The sequence below is a fragment of the Homo sapiens genome, chromosome 7 (genome assembly GCF_000001405.40).
Source record: "Homo sapiens chromosome 7, GRCh38.p14 Primary Assembly".
NCBI lineage: Eukaryota > Metazoa > Chordata > Mammalia > Primates > Hominidae > Homo > Homo sapiens.
In genome coordinates this window covers 90,179,657-90,204,996 of record NC_000007.14, presented here as the reverse complement: position 1 = coordinate 90,204,996, position 25,340 = coordinate 90,179,657, and the positions used below count along the sequence as shown (strand labels likewise).

The following is a 25,340-nucleotide window of genomic DNA, read 5'->3' as shown; positions in this document are numbered from 1 at the left end:
ATTTGAACATATTTATGCAAGTTTTAATTTAAAAATTTTTTTATTATACTTTTAAGTTTTAGGGTACATGTGCACAATGTGCAGGTTAGTTACCTATGTATACATGTGACATGCTGGTGCACTGCACCCACTAACTCGTCATCTAGCGTTAGGTATATCTCCCAGTGCTATCCCTCCCCCCTCCCCCCACCCCACAACAGTCCCCAGAGTGTGATGTTCCCCCTCCTGTGTCCATGTGTTCCCATTGTTCAATTCCCACATATGAGTGAGAATATGTGGTGTTTGGTTTTTTGTTCTTGCAATAGTTTACTGAGAATGATGATTTCCAATTTCATCCATGTCCCTACAAAGGACATGAACTCATCATTTTTTATGGCTGCATAGTATTCCATGGTGTATATGTGCCACATTTTCTTAATCCAGTCTATCATTGTTGGACATTTGGGTTGGTTCCAAGTCTTTGCTATTGTGAATAGTGCCTTAATAAACATACGTGTGCATGTGTCTTTATAGCAGCATGATTCATAGTCCTTTGGGTATATACCCAGTAATGGGATGGCTGGGTCAAATGGTATTTCTAGTTCTAGATCCCTGAGGAATCGCCACACTGACTTCCACAATGGTTGAACTAGTTTACAGTCCCACCAACAGTGTAAAAGTGTTCCTATTTCTCCACATCCTCTCCAGCACCTGTTGTTGCCTAACTTTTTAATGATGGCCATTCTAACTAGTGTGAGATGGTATCTCATTGTGGTTTTGATTTGCATTTCTCTGATGGCCAGTGATGGTGAGCATTTTTTCATATGTTTTTTGACTGCATAAATGTCTTCTTTTGATAAGTGTCTGTTCATGTCCTTCACCCACTTTTTGATGGGGTTGTTTGTTTTTTTCTTGTAAATTTGTTTGAGTTCGTTGTAGATTCTGGATATTAGCCCTTTGTCAGATGAGTAGGTTGCAAAAATTTTCTCCCATTTTGTGGGTTGCCTGTTCACTCTGATGCTAGTTTCTTTTGCTGTGCAGAAGCTCTTTAGTTTAATTAGATCCCATTTGTCAATTTTGGCTTTTGTTGCCATTGCTTTTGGTGTTTTAGACATGAAGTCCTTGCCCGTGCCTATGTCCTGAATGGTAATGCCTAGGTTTTCTTCTAGGGTTTTTATGGTTTTAGGTCTAACATTTAAGTCTTTAATCCATCTTGAATTGATTTTTGTATAAGGTGTAAAGAAGGGATCCAGTTTCAGCTTTCTACATATGGCTAGCCAGTTTTCCCAGCACCATTTATTAAATAGGGAATCCTTTCCCCATTGCTTGTTTTTGTCAGGTTTGTCAAAGATCAGATAGTTGTAGATATGCGGCGTTATTTCTGAGGGCTCTGTTCTGTTCCATTGATCTATACCTCTGTTTTGGTACCAGTACCATGCTGTTTTGGTTACTGTAGCCTTGTAGTATAGTTTGAAGTCAGGTAGCGTGATGCCTCCTGGCTTAGGATTTGGCTTAGGATTGACTTGGCGATGCGGGCTCTTTTTTGGTTCCATATGAACTTTAAAGTAGTTTTTTCCCATTCTGTGAAGAAAGTCATTGGTAGCTTGATGGGGATGGCATTGAATCTATAAATTACCTAGGGCAGTATGGCCATTTTCATGATATTGATTCTTCCTATCCATGAGCATGGAATGTTCTTCCATTTGTTTGTATCCTCTTTAATTTCATTGAGCAGTGGTTTGTAGTTCTCCTTGAAGAGGTCCTTCACGTCCCTTGTAAGGTGGATTCCTAGGTATTTTATTCTCTTTGAAGCAATTGTGAATGAGAGTTCACTCATGATTTGGCTCTCTGTTTGTCTGTTATTGGTGTATAAGAATGCTTGTGATTTTTCCACATTGATTTTCTATCCTGAGACTTTGCTGAAGTTGCTTATCCGCTTAAGGACATTTTGGGCTGAGACAATGGGGTTTTCTGGATATACAATCATGTCATCGGCAAACAGAGACAATTTGACTTCCTCTTTTCCTAATTGAATACCCTTTATTTCCTTCTCCTGCCTAATTGCCCTGGCCAGAACTTCCAACACTACGTTGAATAGGAGTGGTGAGAGAGGGCATCCCTGTCTTGTGCCAGTTTTCAAAGGGAATGCTTCCAGTTTTTGCCCATTCAGTATGATATTGGCTGTGGGTTTGTCATAGATAGCTCTTATTATTTTGAGATATGTCCCATCAATACCTAATTTATTGAGAGTTTTTAGCATGAAGTGTTGTTGAATTTTGTCAAAGGCCTTTTCTGCATCTATTGAGATAATCATGTGTTTTTTGTCTTTGGTTCTGTTTATATGCCGGATTACATTTATTGATTTGCATATATTGAATCAGCCTTGCATCCCAGGGATGAAGCCCACTTGATTATGGTGGATAAGCTTTTTGATGTGCTGCTGGATTCGGCTTGCCAGTATTTTATTGAGGATTTTTGCATCAATGTTCATCAAAGATATTGGTCTAAAATTCTCTTTTTTGGTTGTGTCTCTGCCAGGCTTTGGTATCAGGATGATGCTGGCCTCATAAAATGAGTTAGGGAGGATTCCCTCTTTTTCTATTGATTGGAATAGTTTCAGAAGGAATGGTACCAGTTCCTCCTTGTACCTCTGGTAGAATTTGGCTGTGAATCCATCTGGTCCTGGACTCTTTTTGGTTGGTAAGCTATTGATTATTGCCACAGTTTCAGCTCCTGTTATTGGTCTATTCAGAGATTCAACTTCTTCCTGGTTTAGTCTTGGGAGAGTGTATGTGTCGAGGAATTTATCCATTTCTTCTAGATTTTCTAGTTTATTTGCATAGAGGTGTTTGTAGTATTCTATGATGGTAGTTTGTATTTGTGTGGGATCGGTGGTGATATCCCCTTTATCATTTTTTATTAATTTAAAAGTTTTAAGTCAACAGTGTAGTCATGGGTTTTTTTCCCTTCTTCTTTCTTTAAAATGAGTCATATTTTATTCAAAGTTGGGAAACACTAGTCTAGAACTAACTTGGGCTTTTTTTTAATTCCCTACTCTGCTCTATACTCTCCATTACCTCACAACTCTCACATTTAAGTCCTAAAAATTAATAAGGATCAGTCATACCCAATTTCAGTTGAATTGCTAGTATAATTTAGTTATAGTTGGAATACTACTTAATAAATGAAAAAGGCAGTATGTTGCCATGCAAATTAATGTGGATCAGGAGTTAGAATGTCTTCAATGACTTATTTGAATCTTTAGCAACTTGCTTAACCATTTTGAGCCTTAGTTATATTGTCTTTAAAATGAAAGTTGCGAAATATAATTGTCTTTAAAATGAAAGTTGTGAAATACAATTGTCTTTAAAATGAAGTGTGAAAATAATAAGTTATTGTTTTAAGCTGTCAATTTGGGGGCAATTTATTGTGCAATGATAGATAACCAAAACAAGAACCCAAAAATGTTCATTTTCCTTGTTTGATCAATAATATATATTCTGTATCTCTTATACAAACTGCTCAAAAACTTAAGGTACAGTTGTAAACACTTTTTTAGCACACCATTTTCTTCTTTGCTTTATTATTATAGACATATATTTATATTATATTATTATATACATATATTTATATTATACCATATATTTATACATTTCTATTTATACTATACATGTATACATTTATATTTATACATTATATTTATACTATATATTTATACATTCATATTTATACATGTATATTTATACATTTATATTTATATTTATACTATAGTATACTGTATATAGTATACTATACTATATATACTATATTTATGCTATATTTTTATACTATATATAGTATACTATATAGTATAAATATAAATAGTATATTATATATAGTATAAATATAAATGTATAAATATATAGTTACTTAACACTGTGATCAATTCTGTGATCAAAGTTCTATATATATACTCTTTATATATAATATATGTATATATAGTATACTATATAGAGTATATGTATAGAATATATAGTATATAGAGTATATATATAGAATATATACAGTATTCTATATATAGTATATATAGAGAATACTATATAGTATATCTAGTATACTATAATATATATACTATATATAATATACTATACTATAGTATGTATAGTGTATATATACTATATATAGTTTATATAAAATATATACACTATATATTATATATACTATATACAGTATATATACTATATATAGTATAAATGTATTAGTATACTTAGTGTGTATATATATAGTGTGTGTATGTGTGTGTGTGTGTGGATATATATATATATATATATATATATATATATATATTAGAGACAGGATCTCACTCTGTCACCCAGGTTGGAGTGCAGTGGTGTGATCACACCTGGCTGCAGCTTCAAACTCTCAAGCTTAAGCAATCCTCCCTCATCAGCCTCCCAAGTCCCCAGACAGAAGCACTGCTTTATTCTTTAAAAAAAATCACAAAGACGTTATTTCATGCTTTCATACTGTTACATCACCTTTTTGATGCCCATTGTTAATACCTGATAAAATAAACCAGCTTTACGAAACAAATAGGACTTCTGTTTCTATAAACATAAATGTTTGACCTTCATGACTGTAAAGAGATCAGAGGATTAGTAATGGAGGAGATATTAAAGCAGGAGCTGATTTTAATCTCTGTTTTATTATCTTTTAAAATACATTTAAGATAGTTAACTTATTTTTAAAGCAAATTTAAGTAAAATGGAAATGTCCTTTGAAATGTTGGAATTTTATGACTCTAAATCCAACTATCTCTGAAAAGAGGTTAGAGTTTATTTCTAAACAAATGTTACCAGAATTGATCACAGTGTTTTTAAGTAACAAAATGCTTTATAGTACCAGTTTCATACAATACACCAAACTAATTTCTATTAGGTATGTAAATTTTAAAATTTCAAAGTCACATGGAAAAGAAAATCAGAAAAGCAGAAATGAAAGTTTGTCATATTGCTGGTAGGCTACTTAAGCTTGAATAGATGACAGCAATCTCAAAGATAAAGACTTACAAATTTGACTAAATAAAATTTAAAGTTCTATATATTTTTTCCAAAACATAAACTGAGTGAAAATATTTACTGTAAACTGAATGAAAGATTAATGTCTTAAATATTTCAAAATAGCTCACACAAATTCAGATGAGAAGCAACAGTTTATGCTTGCCATAAATGGGCAAGAGAATTGGGCAAACATTTTAATAAAGAGGAAATAAAACTTTAATAAAAGAGACACTGGGACAGCTACTGTGTACAGACTTTCCATAGTCTTTTTATTTTTTCCTGTTTATTGATTTTGAACAATCAACTATTTCCCTCTAAAAGTAAATCACCAAAGAATGTACCATTCAAAGGACTTTAAAATTTGTAGTGCATCTTAGTCAAGGCAAGAAGTAAAAAGTAGGTCATTGACTTAAAAGTGCCAAGAACAACATTCTCCTGTTCTTATTTTTATTATACAATTACATAGTAAAATAATTCCCATACTTTCCAATATTTGGTATGTATGCTAGGCCTTATTATCTTAATTTCTGGGTTATTTTACAGCAGTCACTTTACCCATTTTATGAACTTCATCAATGTTCTGAGGCCCTCTTTTCCAGGATTATGTCATTTAGTTTTTTATTTTAAAATAACAACTAATAACTTTTACCCTTTGTTTTTTTTTCAAACTATTAATTTATGTTTCAAATATTTATTGAGTGTTTGTGTGCCACTTTCTAAGGTACTGGGGACACAAGAAGCAATAAGACAAAAAATATCCCTGTCTTCATGAAGCTTACATTCTACTTAGAGCTGTCAATCATGTGCATAATGTTCTGCCCAAAGGCACCTGGCTGAGGAGTTGAATGGGGAGGGGGACACTGGAGGTGGATAAAATTCGTCTTTTACTCTGCTCCCACCCATGCCTTTTTCTTTACACAAATGTAGCTGCTAACCAAATCCTGTGCATGGGGTGGGATGAACGTGTATGTGTGTATGTGTATGTGTGTGTGTGTGTGTGTACGAGCAAACACGCACATGCCTGAATCATTTTCTAATTTGTACCAAGATGCCAAAGATGAGGCATCAGTTCTATTGAAGAAAGACAGACAATACATAAGTTATACAAATAGAAATATAAGCATGTTTGATGATGATAAATGCTACAGGAAAAATTAAGAAAGGGAAATAAATAAGGAATATGGACAGGAATGGCCTTCAAGGTGACATTTTAGTGGGAAGTGAGAGATAAGTAGGTGAGCCATGTAGACAGCTAGGGGGAAATGTCCTAGTAAGGGTGAAATCAAGTGGAAAGACCCTGAGGCCAGACAGGAGCTGTGTCCACAGAACAGCCAGCTTGTCTAGAAAAGACTGAATGAGACCAACTAGTGGGAGATGAGGTCAGAGAGCTTGGACAGAAGGTAGGATGTGGGGAAGCAGTTGGGCTGAGATTGTTTAGGGTGTTGCAGGCTAAATAAGGAATTTAACAGAATGAGATGTGAAGCCTTGGAGGATTTTAAGCAGATGTGATAGGATTTGATTTATATTTTAACAGACTAACTCTGGCTACAGTGTAGTAAATAGATTGAAGGGAGACAAGGATGGAAGCAGGGAAACTAGTTAGGGAGCTGTTGTAATAATACACGTGAAAGGTGATAGTGGAATAGATGAAGGTGGTAGGAGTGGAGTTAGGGGAAATGTAGGATTCTCAAATGTATTCTAAAAGTAAAACCAACAGAACTTGATGGTAGATTGACTGTGGGGTCTGAGAAAAGAAGAGTCAAAGATAATGGCAAGATTTTAGGCCTGATCAACAGGAGGACTTGGAGTTGCCATTCACTGAGAAGGTAGAGATTGTGTCAAACAAAATTAGGATGGGAAATAGATCAGGAATTCAGTTTGGGGAATGTTATGTTAGAGATGATAAGTGAGGAGTTGGATATTTGAGTCTGGGGTTCAGAGGAGAAGTCTGGTCTAGAGATATTAATTGGAGTTATTGGCATATGAGATATACAAACCATGAAATCACCAATGGTGTAAGAGTAGTTAGAAAAGAGGAGAACCCCAAGGATTGAGTTTTGGAGTATTCCACTGTTTGGTAGTGAGAGAGAGAAGGAGTAAGGATAAAGGAAACTAAAAAGATGCCACTAATGAGGTAAGAGAAAAAGCAGGACAATTGAGTGTCCTAGAAGCCAAGTGAAAAAAATATTTCAAAGAAAGGGGAATAATCAGCTGTGTCAAATACTTTTTATTTTTTCCTTTTTTAGAGACAAGTTCTTGCTATGTTGCCCAGGCTAGACTTGAAATGCTGGCCTCAAGTGAACCTCCCACCTCAGCCTCCTGAGTAGCTTGGACTTTGAGTGATCAAGTAGAATGAAAAATGAGAACAAGATTTAAAATGTGCAGGCCAGGGGGCCCAGTAGCTCATACCTGTAATCCCAGCACTTTGGGTGGCTGAGGTGGGAGGATCACCTGAGTCCAAGAGTTTGAGGCTGCAGTGAGCTATGATTACAGCACTGCACTTTGGCCCCATCTCAAAAAAAAAAAAAACAAAAAGAAAGGAAGATTATTGGTAACTTACCTGATAGGAATTGGTTCAGAGAATGGGAAAACAGAAACTGGAGACAGCAAGTATAGGCAACTCTTCTTAAGAGTTTTCTTGTAAGCTGAAGAAGAGAAATGGTGTGGTAGCTGAAGGAGAAGATAGAGTCCAGAAAAAAAGTTATTTTAAAATGGAAAAACAATCCTATATATGTATGGTTATGGGAATGATCCAGCAGAGATTGAAAGATTGATGATTTAAAAGAGTAGAGAATTGTTTGAGCAAGGTCATTGGGTAGGCAAGAAGAGATGGTATTTAGTGGATAAGTGGTGAAGCTGGCCTTGGCTAGGAGAATGAGCAGTTTATCCTCAATAGAAGAAAGGGTTATAGATGGGTCCCTCATGCAGTGAAGTAGCTAGATGTTGTGGGGGGCATGTGGAAGTTATCTTCTAATTGCTTCTTTTATCTCTGTGAAATAAGATGCAAAGTTGTCTGCTGGGAGTGAGGAAGAAGAAGGGAAATTTAGGGAAAGAAGAAAAGGCATAAAAAATGAAGCGAATAAAAATCAGTTAATAAGAAGGTGGAAATAGGCTGTGCACAGTAGCTCATGTTTGTAAACCCAGTGCTTTGGGTAGCCAAGATGGGGGATTATTTGAAGCCAGGAGTTTGAGACCAGCCTGGGCAACATAGCAAGGCCCCCTCGTCTCTACAAAAAATAAAAAATTAGCTGGGTATGGTGGCATGCAACTGTAGTCCTAGCTGCTCAGGCGGCTGAAGCAGGAGGATTGCTTGAGCCTAGGAGTTCAAGGTTACAGTGAGCTATGATGGTGCCACTGCACTCCAGGCGGGGTGGCAGAAGAGACCCTATCTCTCTAAAAAAAGAAAAAGAAGGTGGCAATAATCCAAATGTATCAGTAATCACCAGAAATATGAATGGAATAAGCTATTCATTTAAAAGAGAGAATTTTCAGATTAGGTTAAAACAAATACATATATATACTATTTATAAAAGTTAAGCATAAAGCTCAAGAGCACAGAACAACTAAAAATTACAGATTCAAAAGAGATACCAGGCCAATATCAATGAAAAGAAATACGATGTAAGTATATCACTGTTGAGGTAGGTGAATAGCAGAGGAAGCTGGGGGCGAAGGGGAACTGTTGGATGTAGGCTAGCTTAAGGAGAACATGCAAGATAACAAAAGCAGAGGGCTGTGTGGTGGCTCACACCTGTAAGCCCAGCATTTTGGGAGGCAGAGGTGGGTGGATCACTTGAGGTCAAGAGTTCAAGATGAGCCTGGCCAACATGGTGAAACCGAGTCTCTACTAAAAATACAAAAATTAGCTGGGCATGGTGGCACATGCCTATAGTCCCAGCTACTCCAGAGGCTGAGTTAGGAGAATCGCTTGAACCTTGGAGGTGGAGGTTGCAGTGAGCTGAGATTGCACCATGGCACTCCAGCCTGGGCGAAGAGTGAGACTCCATCTCAAAACAAAAACAAAAGCAAAACAAAAACAAAAGCAGAGCATACTAGATAAAAAGAAGTAAACAGTAAGTTGGCACAATAAGGGAAAGGCAAGAATGAGCAATTAGCCTACAAGAGATAAAGTAAGGTTAAGGTGCAATAAGGGAAAGGCAAGGATGAGCAATTGGTCACAAAAAAATAAAGTTGAGTAAGTTAGAGTAAAAAAACATAATAAAAGGCCATGAAATGTTACAAATCGGGGCTGATACCACTTGTGGGTCAGCCCAGTCCATTGCAAATTGTACTGTGCTTAATAAATCTTTTGCTGCTTTGCTATTTGTGTGTCATGTCCAGTTCTTTGCTCAGTGAAGAACCTGGGACTTTGCAACATCAGCTGGTAACGTAGTATTTTTGGTAAGCCAGCCAGGAGGTAAGCGCCAATTTGGGATTTTTATTTTTGGTTTTGCTTTCTGATTCTTTCCTCTGATGGCACTCTTTGGGGGCACAAGATGGGTAGTTAAGAGCCACTAGGGTGCCCCCCTGCTGGAAGACTCGGACAGGATAAGCTGGTGGGGAACGGAGCAATTAGGCTTCACCAGGCACAAGACAAATCCCTGTGCCTGTGAGGTATTTGTGTGTGTGGCAAGACATAACATTCTGATTTTTGTTTTCGTAATGTTGAAACAAGAAATTACTGTACCCCGACCCAAAGGACCCAGGCAATAGCTAAATAAGGAAAAAAACCCTGCTTCTTTTGTGAGGGACCAGATCTGGATCGTTTTAGTTTAGCAGACCTGGTGCTAAGAGAAAAATCCTGGTGGAGACTCTCGGATCATTGCCTAAGTTGTGCAGCGGATCCATGGGGAAATCACTGCATGTAGTTTATCTGGTCAGAGGGCATTCTCTTCCCTTATCAAGAGGCCAATCTTTAACAAATTCAAGCTGGGGAGTCTGCAATTCCTTGCCCTTCAAACTACAGTTACCACAATAGTTAAGGAAACCATTTGGGGAAGAAAACTATTTTGGCCAGCTACAGAGATGCCAAAAGCTGAGGGCAGCACCTGGGGACTAAAGGGAAACTTAATCATAGGTCACCAAATATGGCGGAATCCTTCTTCAAGTGGTGCTGATGCCCATCTAAGGCCAGAGACATGTGGCATGTCATGAAGAGGCCCAAGCAGGGGATGCCCTCTTGGCCCTCAACCCCAGCATAGGCCCTTCAATGGGGGACGCCCCAGTGTGTGGCCCTAGGCCAGAACGCTCTAAATTTCAAGTTTTCCTTGTTCTCTACAGACAGAAGACAAGAAACTCAGTTTCAATCTCACCCGACTTCCCCCTTGGCTGCATCCTCAATCACTGGGGGACGGTTCAATCCCAACAGATATCCCCAGAGCGTGTGCAAGCCATATGTGGATTAGACCCACCCCCACCAAACAAATTTGTCCTTTTCTGGGGATGTTTGGATTTTGCAGAATATGAATTCCCAATTTTGGATTTATAGCAAAGCTCCTTTATGCAGTCATGTGGGGGCCAGAGAATGAGCCAATTGAATGCACACCAAAAATAAGGGAGGCCTTCACTAAGTTAAAACAAGCTGTCAGTAAGGCTCCTGCACTAGGCACCCCAGACCTCACTAAGCCTTTTTCTTTACATGTAGCTAAAAGGAAAAGTATGCTTTGGGAGGCCAAGGCAGGTGGATCACAAGGTCAGGAGATCGAGACCATCCTGGCTAACATGGTGAAACCCTGTCTGTACTAAAAATACAAAAAATTAGCTGGGCAAGGTGGTGGGTGCCTGTAGTCCCAGCTACTGGGGAGGCTGAGGTAGGAGAATGGTGTGAACCCAGGAGGCAGAGCTTGCAGTGAGCCGAGATGGTGCCACTACACTCCAGCCTGGGTAACAGAGCGAGACTCTGTCTCAAAAAAAAAAAAAAAAAAAAAAAAGGAAAGGTATAAATTGGACAGGGTGTCCTTGAGATGTCCAAGCTCCTTGTGGGCAATAGCAGTCACTGCTATTTTAGTAGAGGAAGCCACTATGATTACTCTGGGTCAACCACTGGAAGTACTAACCCCATGCCAGCTTAAATCAATCTTGGAGGCAAAAGAACACATTTGGATGACAGGAGAAAAGTTAACCAAATATCAGGCTATGTTTTTAAAATAATCCAGAAGTTATCCTTAAAACTTGTAACACCCTGAATCCAGCTCCACTACTGCCCACATGCCCAGTGATCATTCCTGCAAGCAGATATTTGTACACACATATATGAGCTGGCCTGATCTAAAAGATCAGCCTCTCCCAGATCCTGAAGATGGCTGGTTCACAGACGGCAGTAATTTTGTGTCAAATGGAGAATGCTAGGCTGGGTATGCAATAGTAAATTACAACACATATTGAGGTCCAGCTGCTGCCTCCAGGCACATCAGCATAAAAAGCTGAGACCATTGCTCTTACTTGGACTCTAATATTAGAAAAAGAGAAAAAGCTCAACATTTTTTCAGTTTCCAAATATACATTCCTTGTGGTTCATGTTCATGCCACAGTCTGGAAAGAAAAAGAATTACTAACCAGCAGGCATTCCCCCATAAAACATGGGGCTGAAATTCTTCAATTATTAGAAGCATATATCTACCAAAGGCTATAGCTATAATTTATTGTAGGGGGCATGAGAAACACTTAGCCCATAGTGCTGGAAAACAGGAAGGCTGATAAGAAAGCCAAAGTGGCAACCCTCAGAATACAATACCAACCAGTTTTAGCTTTGTTTCCTTATGCTAATTCCCCTGTAAAACCTAACTACACAGTACAAGAAAAACAACTAATAAAAAGAGCAAGGGGGTCAAAAACAAAGACTCTGGTGACATATGTGGCCAAAATTGTATCTCCCTCAAGCAGCCCAGTGGAAAGCTATAAAAACCTTGCATGACTCCTTCCACAAGGGGAGGGATGCCATACTAGCCACGGTAAACAAACTCTTCATCAGATCTAATATGGCTTCAGTGGCTAAGCAAGTTTGTCAAACCTGTTCACTGTGTGCATTTAACAACACAGGAGATAAAATGCCTCCCCTAGTAGAACCCATCTATATGCAAAGTTTCAAGAAAAGGTACTCAAAAGGAGAGTTCCAAGACAGGTGTAGACATCATAAATAATTCTCTGCTACAGGGGTCACCAGTCTCTCAGAGGGAACCACAGCTGCCTCCATGTAACTCTTCACCTAGCACACTGGAAGAAAAACCACAAGAGTCAACAGAAATCCTGCTGAGTCCTCTGCACAATAGAAAAGGTACCCCATACACCACCCCCCAAGCCTATTTACTCTCAGAGAGGTGGCAGGGCCAGTGTGCCCAATGCTAGTCCAAGCCCCTTTTTTGGTAACAGATACACAGCAATGTAAAGAAAAACTAGAGAGTTACTCTGAAAATCCTAGGAAGTTTGCAAATGGTTTTCAAACCTTGTCTTTGGGTTTTGACCTTTCATGGAAGAATGAGAAAAGGAATAACTGAGGGAAGTCACCCAGGAAAAGGAGAAAAATCCCGGCTATGTTTTACAGCTGGTTAAACTAACTGTACACTAACCTAGACCCAGCCTCTTAACAAGGGAAAGCGCTTATAGCTCAGCACTTCATAAGCCAGTCTGCCCTTAATATTAGATGCAAGTTTCTAAAGTTGGAAATAGGGCCTCAGACACAGCTTCTGGATACTGCTTTTATGGTATACAACAATTGTGACCTAGAGAAAGGGAGGGAAAATAAATGACAAGCTAAAATTATGGCTGCTGTCATTGGCAATGCCCTAAAGGCCCAAAAGATGTCAAAGGGAAACCTGTGAGGGCCCAAATGTAGTAACCCTTGCTTCAAGTGCAAAAAGAATGGACATTGGATGAAGGATTGTATCAGACTCCCACCAGGCCCCTGCCATCAGTGCAAAGATACCAGTCATGATCTCTGGCACTAGAGGATTGACTGCCCTACTCCCATCTAGGGGCTTGGCCAGTCAAAACTCTTGCAATGCAAAGGGAGGAACTGGATGAAGACTGAAGGGGCCCAGGGTCTCCCTCACCACCCTTGGTCCAGGAATATCATAATTACCATTGAGGAACCCCAGGTAACTCTGGACAGCATGGGCATCCAAATTCAGTTTCTTTTTGATACAGGGGAAAACTACTATGTCCTTACTGCTCATGCAGGAAAAGTTTCCTCTCGGTCTATAAGTGTTATCAGAATGGAAGAAAAGCCACAAACTAGATTTTTTACTCCTTCTCTGACTTGTCAATTTAAAACAAAGAACCCAAATATTTCAACAAGAATTTCTGGTAGTGCCAAGTTGCCCAGTTTCCCTGCTAGGAATGGTATTATGGTCAAAATAGGGGTGCAGCTATAATTCAAGACCCAGTTAACAGTTTCAGAAGAGGAAAGGAAGCATGGGGTCTAGGGGCCAAAACTGGAATTCTTGATAAAATGGAATATTATTACTTTAATATTCCAAAATATGTTATGTCAATCTAATCACTCCCATTACAGTGCTGATGAAGACTGTAACCCCTTTTGTGCTGATGACTGTTATTCAGCTATGAGGCCTAAGAACTTTGACCCTTGGGGAGAGTGGGATGCAAGCATACCAGCTAATAAATCTGGGATAAACACCAATAAACCTCATGTAGTTCTACAAGTACCTACCACAGGGATATCCCTGGTGGGAATAGCACACTCTTTCCTGTGTGGAAACTAGGCCTATTTGCAACATGCCAGTAAAATAGAGAGTCCTGTGTGCTATTGTGGCAGCAGCTTCTGATGCACATTGCCCTATGCTTGCATGCCCTGAACTTTACACTTACAATTTTCTTTCTGCTCTTAATGATTTTTGTTCTTTGGGTTGTTTAATTCTGCATCACTCTGGGAAGCATTGGAGGCCAGATGTCTCCCAGTTTCTAGTCTTATTAAAAAAGAAAATAATAATTTTATGTAATTCAGAGGTTATCTAAAGGTCAACTCAAACTATGGACTAAAAATGTTAATTATGAGGTAAGCTAGAAAGGAATCAGTAAGTAGGAAAAAGAGAGACCTGAAGAAAGATATAGATATGAAGATGTATTTTTTGGTAAGGAAGATTAAAAAAGAGAATAATTTTATATAAAAAAGCATCTTCTATGGTAAACTTTTGTCCTAAAGTAAAATGACTGATTATTTAAGAAAGAGAAAAGTTTAGGACAAGTCAGAAACTCCAAGCATATCATAGATGGTCTGTGCAAGTCATCATAAGGTTCATGAAGTGGACTTTATAAAAGGAATTTTGTAGGTGATTAAGTTGGTTATTATTAAAAAGAGATTATTTATAATAATCTTCTAAGATTGGTCCCGTATATTAAAATAAAGTTTTCTTAAAGTATTGTTTTTCTCTCACTAAAATTGCAAAATATTTTACTTTTAATTTTATGACCTGTTTCTTTTAAAAAAATTTCTCAGAATCATATCTCAAAAATTAAACTTTTGCTGTGTGTCACTGCTTTCAGTATTTTTTTTCCTCCCCTTGAGAAGGACCAAGAAATAACTCTTTCCTTCAGCTTTTTGGTCAGCTCCTGTAACTTTGTTCCTCTGGTTCTAACTGCATTGACAGGCTAAGGGAATAAGCTGGAGCCGGACAACCTGGCTCAAAAGCTTGTTGTCTTCTTTTAAAATTGGCTACCACCAATCATCTTGCCCATATGAGGTCCCCTGTTAGGCAGGGTCACCACTGAAAGCCAGCAGGAAGATGGTACAGAAGAAAGACCATCCCCCTTCAGCACCCCGTAAGGATTTATGACACTCCCTGAGGTAATGTTGAATGCATGTTCTTAAATAAGAAACAGGGCAAGGACACTCTCTATCACCTCACTGTTCAACATTGTACTTGTAGTCCTGGCTTCTGCAGTGAGGAAAGAAAAAGAAATGAAGTATAATGATTGAAAAGGAGGGGGAGAAATTGTCATTCATAAATGAAATGACCTTACATAGAAAACCCAAGGGTCCACAGAAAAATTATGAGATTTAATAAGAGAGTTTAACAAGATTGCTCAATTTAAAACATTAACATAAATAAATTATTGCATGTCAATACATCAGCTATGAGCAGTTTAATAATGCAATTAAGAAAGATACCATTTATTATGGCAATTGAAAATACCAAGTATCCATTAATAGATCTAACAAAAGATATGTAAGCACTTCATGGAGAAAAGTATAAACCGTATGGAAAAAGACATTAAAGAATATCCAAAGATCGTTCATAATCTTGGGTACAAAGACTCAGTATTGTGAAAATGCTGCTCTTTCCAAATATATCTAACAATTCAGTTTCTGTCAAAATCCCATCAAGATTTTTTATGGCACTAGATGCATTAATTCAAAAATCAATATGGATGAGCAAGAGGTAAGAATAGTCACAAAATTCCCAGAGAAGAAGAGCAATATAGTATGATTTGCCCTCCTAGATACCGAGGATAATTATATAGCTACAAAATTCTATATTATAGGGTTAGACAGACTAAGGGAACAGAATAGGTAGCATTAAAATTGACCCAGGCACAATAACATGCTGGCAAGAATGTGGGGAAAGGGGAACCCTCATACACTCTTGGTGGGGATGCAAATTAGTATAGCCGCTATGGAGAACAGCGTGGAGGTTCCTCAGAAAACTAAAAATAGACTTACCATATGATCCAGCAATCCCACTACTGGGTATATATCCAAAAGAAAGGACATCAATGTATAAAAGAGATAGCTACACTTCCCTGTTTTTTTGCTGCCCCATTTACAATAGCCAAAATATGGAATCAGCCTAAATGTCCATTAATGTATAAATGGATAAAGAAATGTGTTATATATACATTATGGAATATTATTCAGCCATAAAAAGGAATGAACTCCTGTTATTTGCATCAACATGGATAGAACTAGAGGCCATTACATTAAGTAAAATACAAATATCTCACATTCTCACTCGTATGTGGGCACTAAACATGTGAATTTCATGAAGATAGACAGTAGACTGTGGGTTACCAGAGGTTAAGAAGAGGGTGTAGGGGATGAAGAGGGAAAATAACAAATATGAATGTATTTATTACCACTGAACTGCAAGCTTTAAAATGGTAAATATGGTGAATTATATATATATTTTTTTCCTCAATTAAAAAAAAACTGGTGCAGGCATAGAGGAAAAAAAAACTTGATTTATGACAGAGCAGGCCTTGTATGTCAGCAGGAAGGAAGAACTATTGTTTTTTGTAACTGAGTATCTTAGGTTTAAAAAGCATTTTAGATTTTATTTCTCCAATCTCAGAATATAGCTTTGAAATGTACTTTGAAGCTCTTTGCTTCTCCCTCTTTCCCAGTAGAAACTTCCTTGCACCGTGCATGTTTCTCTGACTACAGGCTTCCTTAGAAACTCCACCAGCTAATCTCAAAACAAACCAGATATGGAGACCTAGCTGCAGACTTCTTCCTCTTTAGGTGGTTAATTTACAACTCATCTGGTAACCTAGATGGGGCCAGCCACACCCAGATGGGCAATAGCTCAAGATAACCATGGGAACAACACATGCAGGCCTGCACCCTGCACTACTCCCATTCCCATGTGTTTCCCCTCGTAAACTCCTTCACTTAGCTTAAAAATTTGAGATGGTTTCTTTGCAGCTTGAGCCCAGCCATTTCTGCAACTGCTGGCATTTGAATAAAGCTGCTTTCCTTCCACCACACCTTGCCTCTTGTGCACTTGGCTTTTCAGGCAGCTACCAGCCAAACCTGAGTTTGGTTACATTATGTTACTTTGTGAAAAATAATTTTATGAAAAATGTGAAATTGTACTTTACCCCACAAAAATCAATTCTAATAAAATAAAATACTTATTATGAAAAGGAAAACTTGAAAACATAGAAAAATATCTATTTATCTATCTCTATCTATCTATCTATCTATCTATCTATCTATCTATCATCTATCTATCTATAATATTTTCAAATGGCACAATCATGGCTTCCTGCAGCCTGGAACTCCTGGGCTCAAGTGATCCTCTCACTTGGGCCTCTCATAGTGCTGGGATTACAGGCATGAGCCACTGTACCTAGCCAGGATAGGTCTATTAAATAAGACACATACAGTAATATGAACTAGCAGAGGAAAAAATGTATCCATTTGACATTAAAATTAAAAACTCTCTATAATGAATGGAAACCATAGAGGAACTGAAAAAGGTTAGTCACATTGTGAAAAGATATTTGTTATATATCATAAACCAAAAGTTCAGGATGGTGTGTACCTCTCAGGGTTGGGATGGGAAGCCAGTTATAATAAGGCAGGGCACTTAGGGGAGCTCTGAACACTGTTTTATTTCTTAAGCTGGGTGTCTGGTACATGAGTGTTCATTTTATTATTATTATTTTAATTGTGTATACATATTTCATACACATTATATATGATATAATTTAATTTTCTAATGAAATAAAATTTAATTCCAAATGACTTGACCAGTAAAAGAAGTGTATTAGTTTCATAATTGAAAGATCCAGTGATGAGGAAGCTTCAGATATGGTTTGATCCAGAGTCCACCCCTATGGCTAGGGAAGAGGTAATTTTCCTTCAGAGCACATAGACTGGATTGGGAAAGGATGAATACTAGAATAAAGACTCACTGAAAGAGAGAGTCTAAGCAGGAAAAGTTAAGAAATGTATAGAGCCACAAAGCATTAAACAGGTGCCAAAAATAGTTGTTAGTATTTCTCATCTTATACTCAACTTTTAAAATCCTTGTTTTTCCTGTGACTTTTGCTAACTTGGATTGCTAGCTGGAATGAAGCATTAAGATGAATAATGATTTTATTATACCCCCTAATCATTTTGTACTCATCACATTTCAACTTATGCTTTAACTTTTTGCCAAAAAGATATTTTGATACAATAATAAGCCCTCTTTTTAAGTGTGATAATGTTTGAATGTAGTGTTAAAACCTGTTAAAATACTCATTGCTGATCACTCATAAAAAGAAAAATTTGTTAAGTGACTTCTGTGCCTGTGTTCTTGTATTCCAGATGTGTCTACAGGTCATAATTATGGCCACAGTGATTTTTAATGTAATTGCAACTTTTAATTTATTTTATGTTACTTTATTATTACCTTAATTTTTCATATTTTTTCAGCTTTTGAATGTTATTCTAATATAAAACCTTTCCCAAGCTAATTAGGATGATCACAGCTTATCATTTATTCAGAATAATTATGGAATTATTTAGATAATTGTCCAATAGTTTTTAAAAATTATTCATGATTATTATTTCTTTAAGATCTCTTAAATAGATTGCGTGCTATTTAATTTTATGTTTTCTTCATGATGCAGCGTCATTAGGAATGTAGATTACTTTGTTACAATTACAATAATTTGTGATGCAAGTAGCTGTTTGCTTATGTACTTAAGGGAACTACTCTAACTGGTGAAGAGTAGGATGAAGCATCCATGTCCCTACAAAGGATATGAACTCATCCTTTTTTATGGCTGCATAGTATTCCATGGTGTATATATGCCACATTTTCTTAATCCAGTCTATCATCGATGGATATTTGGGTTGGTTCCAAGTCTTTGCTATTGTGAATAGTGTCGCAATGAACATACATGTGCATGTGTCTTTATAGCAGCATGATTTATAATCCTTTGGGTATATACCCAGTAATGGGATAGCTGGGTCAAATGGTATTTCTAGTTCTAGATCCTTGAGGAATTGCCACACTGTCTTCCACAATGGTTGAACTAGTTTACAGTCCCACCAACAGTGTAAAAGTGTTCCTATTTCTCCACATCATCTCCAGCACTTGTTGTTTCCTGACTTTTTAGTGATCCACATTCTAACTGATGTGAGATGGTACCTCATTGTGGTTTTGATTTGCATTTCTCTGATGGCCAGTGATGATGAGCATTTTTTCATGTGTCTGTTGGCTGCATAAATGTCTTTTTTTGAGAAGTGTCTGTTGATATCCTTTGACCACTTTTTGATGGGGTTGTTTTTTTCTTGTAAATTTGTTTGAGTTCTTTGTAGATTCTGGATATTAGCCCTTTGTCAAATGAGTAGATGGCAAAAATTTTCTCCCATTCTGTAGGTTGCCTGTTCACTCTGATGGTAGTTTCTTTTGCTGTGCGGAAGCTCTTTAGTTTAATTAGATCCCATTTGTCAATTTTGGCTTTTGTTGCCATTGCTTTGGTGTTTTAGACATGAAGTCCTTGCCCATGCCTATGTCCTGAATGGTAATGCCTAGGTTTTCTTCTAGGGTTTTTATGGTTTTAGGATTAACATTTAAGTCTTTAATCCATCTTGAATTAATTTTTCTACAAGGTGTAAAGAAGGGATCCAGTTTCAGCTTTCTACATATGGCTAGCCAGTTTCCCTAGCACCATTTATTAAATAGGGAATCCTTTCCCCATTTCTTGTTTTTATCAGGTTTGTCAAAGATCAGATGGTTGTAGATGTGTGGTATTATTTCTGAGGGCTCTGTTCTGTTCCTTTGGTCTATATCTCTGTTTTGGTACAGTACCATGCTGTTTTGGTTACTGTAGCCTTGTAGTATAGTTTGAAGTCAGGTAGCGTGATGCCTCCAGCTTTGTTCTTTTGGCTTAGGATTGTCTTGGCAATGCGGGCTCTTTTTTGGTTCCATATGAAGTTTAAAGTAGTTTTTTCCAATTCTGTGAAGAAAGTCATTTGTAGCTTGATGGGGATGGCATTGAATCTATAAATTACCTTGGGCAGTATGGCCATTTTCATGACATTGATTCTTCCTATCCATATATCTGGGTTATTTTATAATCAGGAAAAAAGCACTAAATGTGAATAAAAGTGCTGAATTATTTTAGTTATAATGTTACCTTTCATGGTCCAGCCTCTAAAGTGCTTGAATTCTATGCTTCCTACTCATGATCTGACTTTGAGCTTCATTAATTCCATTCCAAGCTATGCGTTATTTCTATTCCAAAAGCATGTTTTCTATCTTTTTGAAAACAATCCAAAAGATCTTTTTCAATTTATCTTTTTCTTCAAAATTATTTTAGTGATTTTATTTTATTTTTAGAAAACTTTTTTTTTAAAAAACTGACAATTATATCTCAATTTGGTATTAAAACACTATTTTGCTGGTGCTTGAAAACTCAAAAATCTCCATTGTCTATAGTATAAAATACAGAATCTTAAAGCTTTTCTCTAGTGTATTTCCAAATTGCCTACCTTATTTTACTTATTATGCCTCTATGTTAGCCCTCTTTTTCTATCCTATTGGCCTAGAATATGTCATTTTTAGTCCTGACTCTTGTGGGACTCTACTAAATCGTCCATCTTTACTAAATGATCCATCGGTTAGATCCGTTTCCTTTTGAAACCTTTCCTGAGCTTTCCAAACTCAAAAAAACTCTACCTTCTGTAATTATTTATGACACTTATTATTATTCTCTTGGAACATGCATACTACTTTGTATTGCCATCCTTTCTAGGGTAACTTCTGGATGATTTTGTATATGCACAACACCTAGGAGTGTTTATCCACAATACTTGGAAGTGTCTTACATATTTGGTAAGGTTGTAATGATGGGTGGGCTCATTTCACTTAGACTACATGCCAATAGTCTACCTGAGAGTGTTCCCGTCCTTTCATGAATAAAGTAGTGTGTATTTCCTTTTGGCAGAGGCATCCTTGCCAGCAAGATACTAGGAGTACACATTTCTACCAGGAAAGCAAAATACAGACTGGAAGCCAAAACTCAAGGAATTCTGGCCAAAGATGTAAAGAGCCAAATTCTCTCAGAAATGGTTTCCCAGAAGTAATTTGTGCTGACTATGCTTCAGTTCAAACAAACTCTTTTAAGAGCAAAATAGCAGTACGTGATATATCTAACCATTGTAGATAGCTAGCTTGAAGTAGGAGTATATATATATATATATATATATATATATATATATATATATATATATATATATTACTGTTGGCTAAAATAATCTAGATTATTGCTTCAGCAATCCCGTTCATTTTGAAAAGTAGCAACTCATTTTCTGCAGCTATGTAGTAGTAAGTGCACATCGTTTTAGAATTGTAGTGTCTTTCTAATTACTGAACAGCTCTTGTCTGGTGTGGACTTTGGTTGAAGCTAGTGTGTTGAAGGTTTCTTTTTAAAACTGAGTGCCATAGTATAGTGACACTAATATCTATATTCATATTTATAATTATCCAGATATATAATAAATGTTTATTAAATGCAAGCTACGTCTCTCACAGAATGAAAAGAAATATAAGCCATTGTCCTTGCCTTTAAGAAGTTTGCAATATGGATAGCTAGATAATATGTGTTACTTATTGAAATATGAATTCATAATAGAATAAAACATTTATCATTATTTAAGAATGATACAACAAAAATACCATGAGAGCGAAAGGGAGAGAAAGGAGTTCCTTCAGGCTGGGATGACTATAAAAATCTATATGGAAGTAAACTCTGACTTGCACTTGAAGAATGGGTAGACTTTGAACAGGAAAGAAGAGAGAAAAGTATTCTTGGTGAATGAAGAATGTGAACAATGTGAACAAGGCCATGGAGTCAAAGTCATTTTAGGAAGAAAGTGAGTAAATTGACTTTTTTAGGGAGGTATAAAATTGTAGATTAGACCAGAAGAATCTGGGTTGAGATTATAGAAAAGTGTGAATGCCAGGTAAGCACTAAGGACTTACCTTTTAAGTGTGAGGACCCATTTAGGGAAGATTTTGAGAAAAGAAAACATATGATCCAAGTTGAGTTTTACTGAAGTTAATTTGTCAGCTATGTACTGTTTGAAAAGGAAGATAGAGACAGTAATATGAGGATGTTTAGAAGACCAAGAAAGCAGTTGAAATGTGAGGTAGAATAGAGGATATATGTAGTATTTCCGTTCAGCATCCCCTCTTTTCTGATTCAGTGATTCAGGTGGAGATGACACCATTTGCCCTCAAAAGCCATAGGTAGGCCGGGTGCGGTGGCTCACGTCTGTAATCCCAGCACTTTGGGAAGCCAAGGCGGGCAGATCACAAGTCAGGAGATCGAGACCATCCTGGCTAACATGGTGAAACCCTGTCTCTACTAAAAATACAAAAAAATTAGCCGGTGTGGTGGCAGGCACCAGTAGTCCCAGCTACTTGGGAGTCTGAGGCAGGAGAATGGTGTTAACATGGGAGGCAGAGCTTGCAGTGAGCCGAGACCACGCCACTGCACTCAAGACTGGGGGACAGAGCGAGACTCCATCTCAAAAAAAAAAAAAAAAAAAGCCATAGGTAGAGCACATGACCCAAGTCTGGTTAACTAAGGGAGTCCATTTCTCTGGTCATAATTATTGGTTCAGAGATGGGCACATGATCTAAACTAAGACAGAGTTATCTCTAGAACTTTTCCTTCTAGACCTATGGAGAAAGATGTCCTCTTCCCAGTGATCTTATCAGTGGTCATCTATTCTGTTACCTTGTGTGGTGGCCAGCCTCCATGATATTCCTCAATGGTTCCTCCTAGTATTCATGCCCTTGCATAATCTTCCTCCATATTATATCAGAGTTTGTCTGTGTGATGAATAAATGTACAGCAGAAGTGATGGTATGCTGTAAACGAAACTGGGTAGGAATGGATGCTACGGAGTCCAAATTGGAATTAGCAACACTTGATAACTGGATTTTTAAATGCAAGGGAACACAAAGTTTTTGAGTTCGATAAAATGGCTATGTCATTAACAGATGTGACAAAGTCTGGAAGGGGAATTTTTTGCTTTGTTGTTGCGAAAGATGGGTAGGGGAGATGAATTTATTTTCGGGTTGAGACCCTTGATAACAATATTAAGAACAATGGCTGGTATTTACAAAAATGAATAAACTACCCCATAAAATAGTGAGTTATCTGTCCTCTGTCACTGTATATATTCAGGATGTTGGAAATTGGACGTCTTTTAGTAATACAACATATAAAGTCATTTCCAGTTAAGAGATTTGGTTACTCTGTTTCTACTAGTTGTCTCTCTCTCTCTCTCTCTCTCTCTCTCTCACACACACACACACACACACACACGAAGAAATTCTAAAAGTAAATGGAGACAATAGCCACAATCTTCCCTACCATAGACCTCTTAATAGTTTTCTCCCTGTTTCTCATTTGTTGTTTCATGTGAATTCTAATCTCTACTGGAGCATGCCCAAGGTATTAAGCCATTTTTGCCTTGCTGTAAAGTAACACATGAGACTGAGTAATTTATAAAAAAAGAGGATTAAGTGGCTCATGGTTCTTCAGGTTTTACAGGAAGCATGGTGCTGGCATTTGCTCAGCTTCTAGAGATCTGCTCCCATGTTCCAAACACCTCCCACAAGGTCCTACTTCCAACATTGGAGATTATATTTCAGCATGAGATTTGGGCAGGGACAAATATCCAAACTATATTCCCAGCATGGTGGGCAGGCTGGAACTAGGATTGGAGGCTTATGGTCACACTCAACTTTCAACTTTGCAAATTATTTCAGTTTCATTCTTACTCGATTCTATGCTGGGTAAAATTGGCCATCTCACAAAATGCTCAGAAAAACAAAAGGTGCTCTGGCAATGACAAACCCATGTGTCCTCCTTCCACTAGAAATGATTTTATGCCCTATAAATATCTTTCTCTATATTATCCAATATCCTTTAATTCCCTTTTTCCTCAATTTTCTTTCCTTTTTAAAAATTTATAATCTATTTCTTATTTCTGAAAAAAAACTTTTTCTTTAACATAATCGTGAAGCAAACAAGATACATCATTTGAAAAAACAAAACAGAAATGTAGAACAAGGAAGTTAGGCTAGATAAACACTAAGATTTCCTTTAGCTCATAAACTTAAATAATAAATCTTAGGCATTTTGTATTCAGCATCAATGAACTCCTTGAATAATAATGGAAAATATTTTTAATGATAAAATTATACAAACTATGTTTTTTGATGCTTTTTCATCCAATTGTAAAATTCTAAGAACATTTAAAAGGTATTTATGGGCTTGAAAAAACTGACATTCTTCTCTATTAAGTATCTTATTCATAAGAGGCCAAATCTTGATATTCAATAGAGTTTGTGCAACACAGCAAACAAGGAAGTGGAACAATGCAAAGAAAACAAATTCATCACTCCCCTGCCTCCCTTGCCCCACACCTTGGAGTCACTGAATACTTTTTCTTTGAAGTCTAGAAAAATCTCTTCTTGCATGATTTGATTGGTGCCTTCCCTAGATATTTTGCATTTACTTTCCCTGCATTCAGTTGAATATTTTCATGAAAAATAGAGCCTTGTTCAAAAACATTTGTTTTTGCAACTGTGAAAGATCTAGCAAAAGCACTGGTAATTTTAGTGATTTTCTAAAATCACACAGCAGAGTTTTTGTCATTGGAAATACACTACTGGAAATACAAAGTTTTCTTAAGTCATGTAGGAACATCAAAAGGACCAAGCTGATGCAATATTCACATAACAATTGTTTGATGAAAGCAAGGGAATTTCCAGTCAACCATTTCTAACCACACTTCACCTGGCTAACATTAGGGCTATTTGACTTTTTAATTCTATTTGCATTAAGAAAGGCAAGCCAAGAGAGAATCAAGAGTCAATTTGTTTCATAACTTTCCTTGCATGATGCTGTTCTTTTTCTCTGTTTCTCACTCTAGCTTCCCTCTTGTTGACAGTTCATCTCACATAGGCTGTTTATAATGGAGAAGAAATTATCTTTCAGGATAAAGGCAGAATGCCAAAGTGGGTGGCAAACTTTTGGCAGTATTCTGGGTTTTCTTAAACACAATGCACATTCTTTTTCCTTTATCCCCTTAGAAGCGAAAAATGAAACTCACCAACTTTTATGGAACAAATTTAGTTCAGCCTTCAGCTGACCTAGTGTTCTTTTTTTCTGTAGTTACCTCATGTAGAAGATTCTTGAGCATTCTTGTGTAAGATTATTAAAAAATATATTTTGCTCCTTTTTTTTTGGTATGACTTTGCAGTATACCAGTGTAACTTAACAATAAAATTCCTCTTTTCATGTCACAAGTTTGGTTGCCCTAGTTTAAAATTATATGTTGAATTATGAAAATCAAGCATTTATTTACCAAGGAGAAAAGAGAATTCTACTTTGGAATTGTTTATATAGGCTTAGTGTAATTTCCCACTCATATTTTTTTCCTAACAAGTGGTCTGGAAAGCCATTCCTCCTCTACTAGTGATATTATACAAATGTAAAGAAAATCTGAAATCATTTTTATTTTCACTGACTTCTCATGAATGAATCCCAATTTCTGTATTATTTGCTGAA

General features: G+C 37.0%; 1 long non-coding RNA gene across 1 annotated transcript in view, besides 1 other annotated feature; it reads left to right on the top strand.

The window, feature by feature from the left end:
• Window positions 1-25,340, top strand: part of STEAP2-AS1 (STEAP2 antisense RNA 1) — a 329,283-nt gene that overhangs the window by 6,639 nt on the left and 297,304 nt on the right. The gene's annotated exons all lie outside the window — the stretch shown is intronic.
• Window positions 24,264-24,765: an enhancer, noted in NCBI's record as "NANOG hESC enhancer chr7:89809546-89810047 (GRCh37/hg19 assembly coordinates)". NCBI's record gives its function as "activates a minimal SCP1, AML or CMV promoter by ChIP-STARR-seq in naive H9 embryonic stem cells {active_cell/tissue: H9 hESC(naive)}" and the evidence as "EXISTENCE:reporter gene assay evidence [ECO:0000049][PMID:30033119]".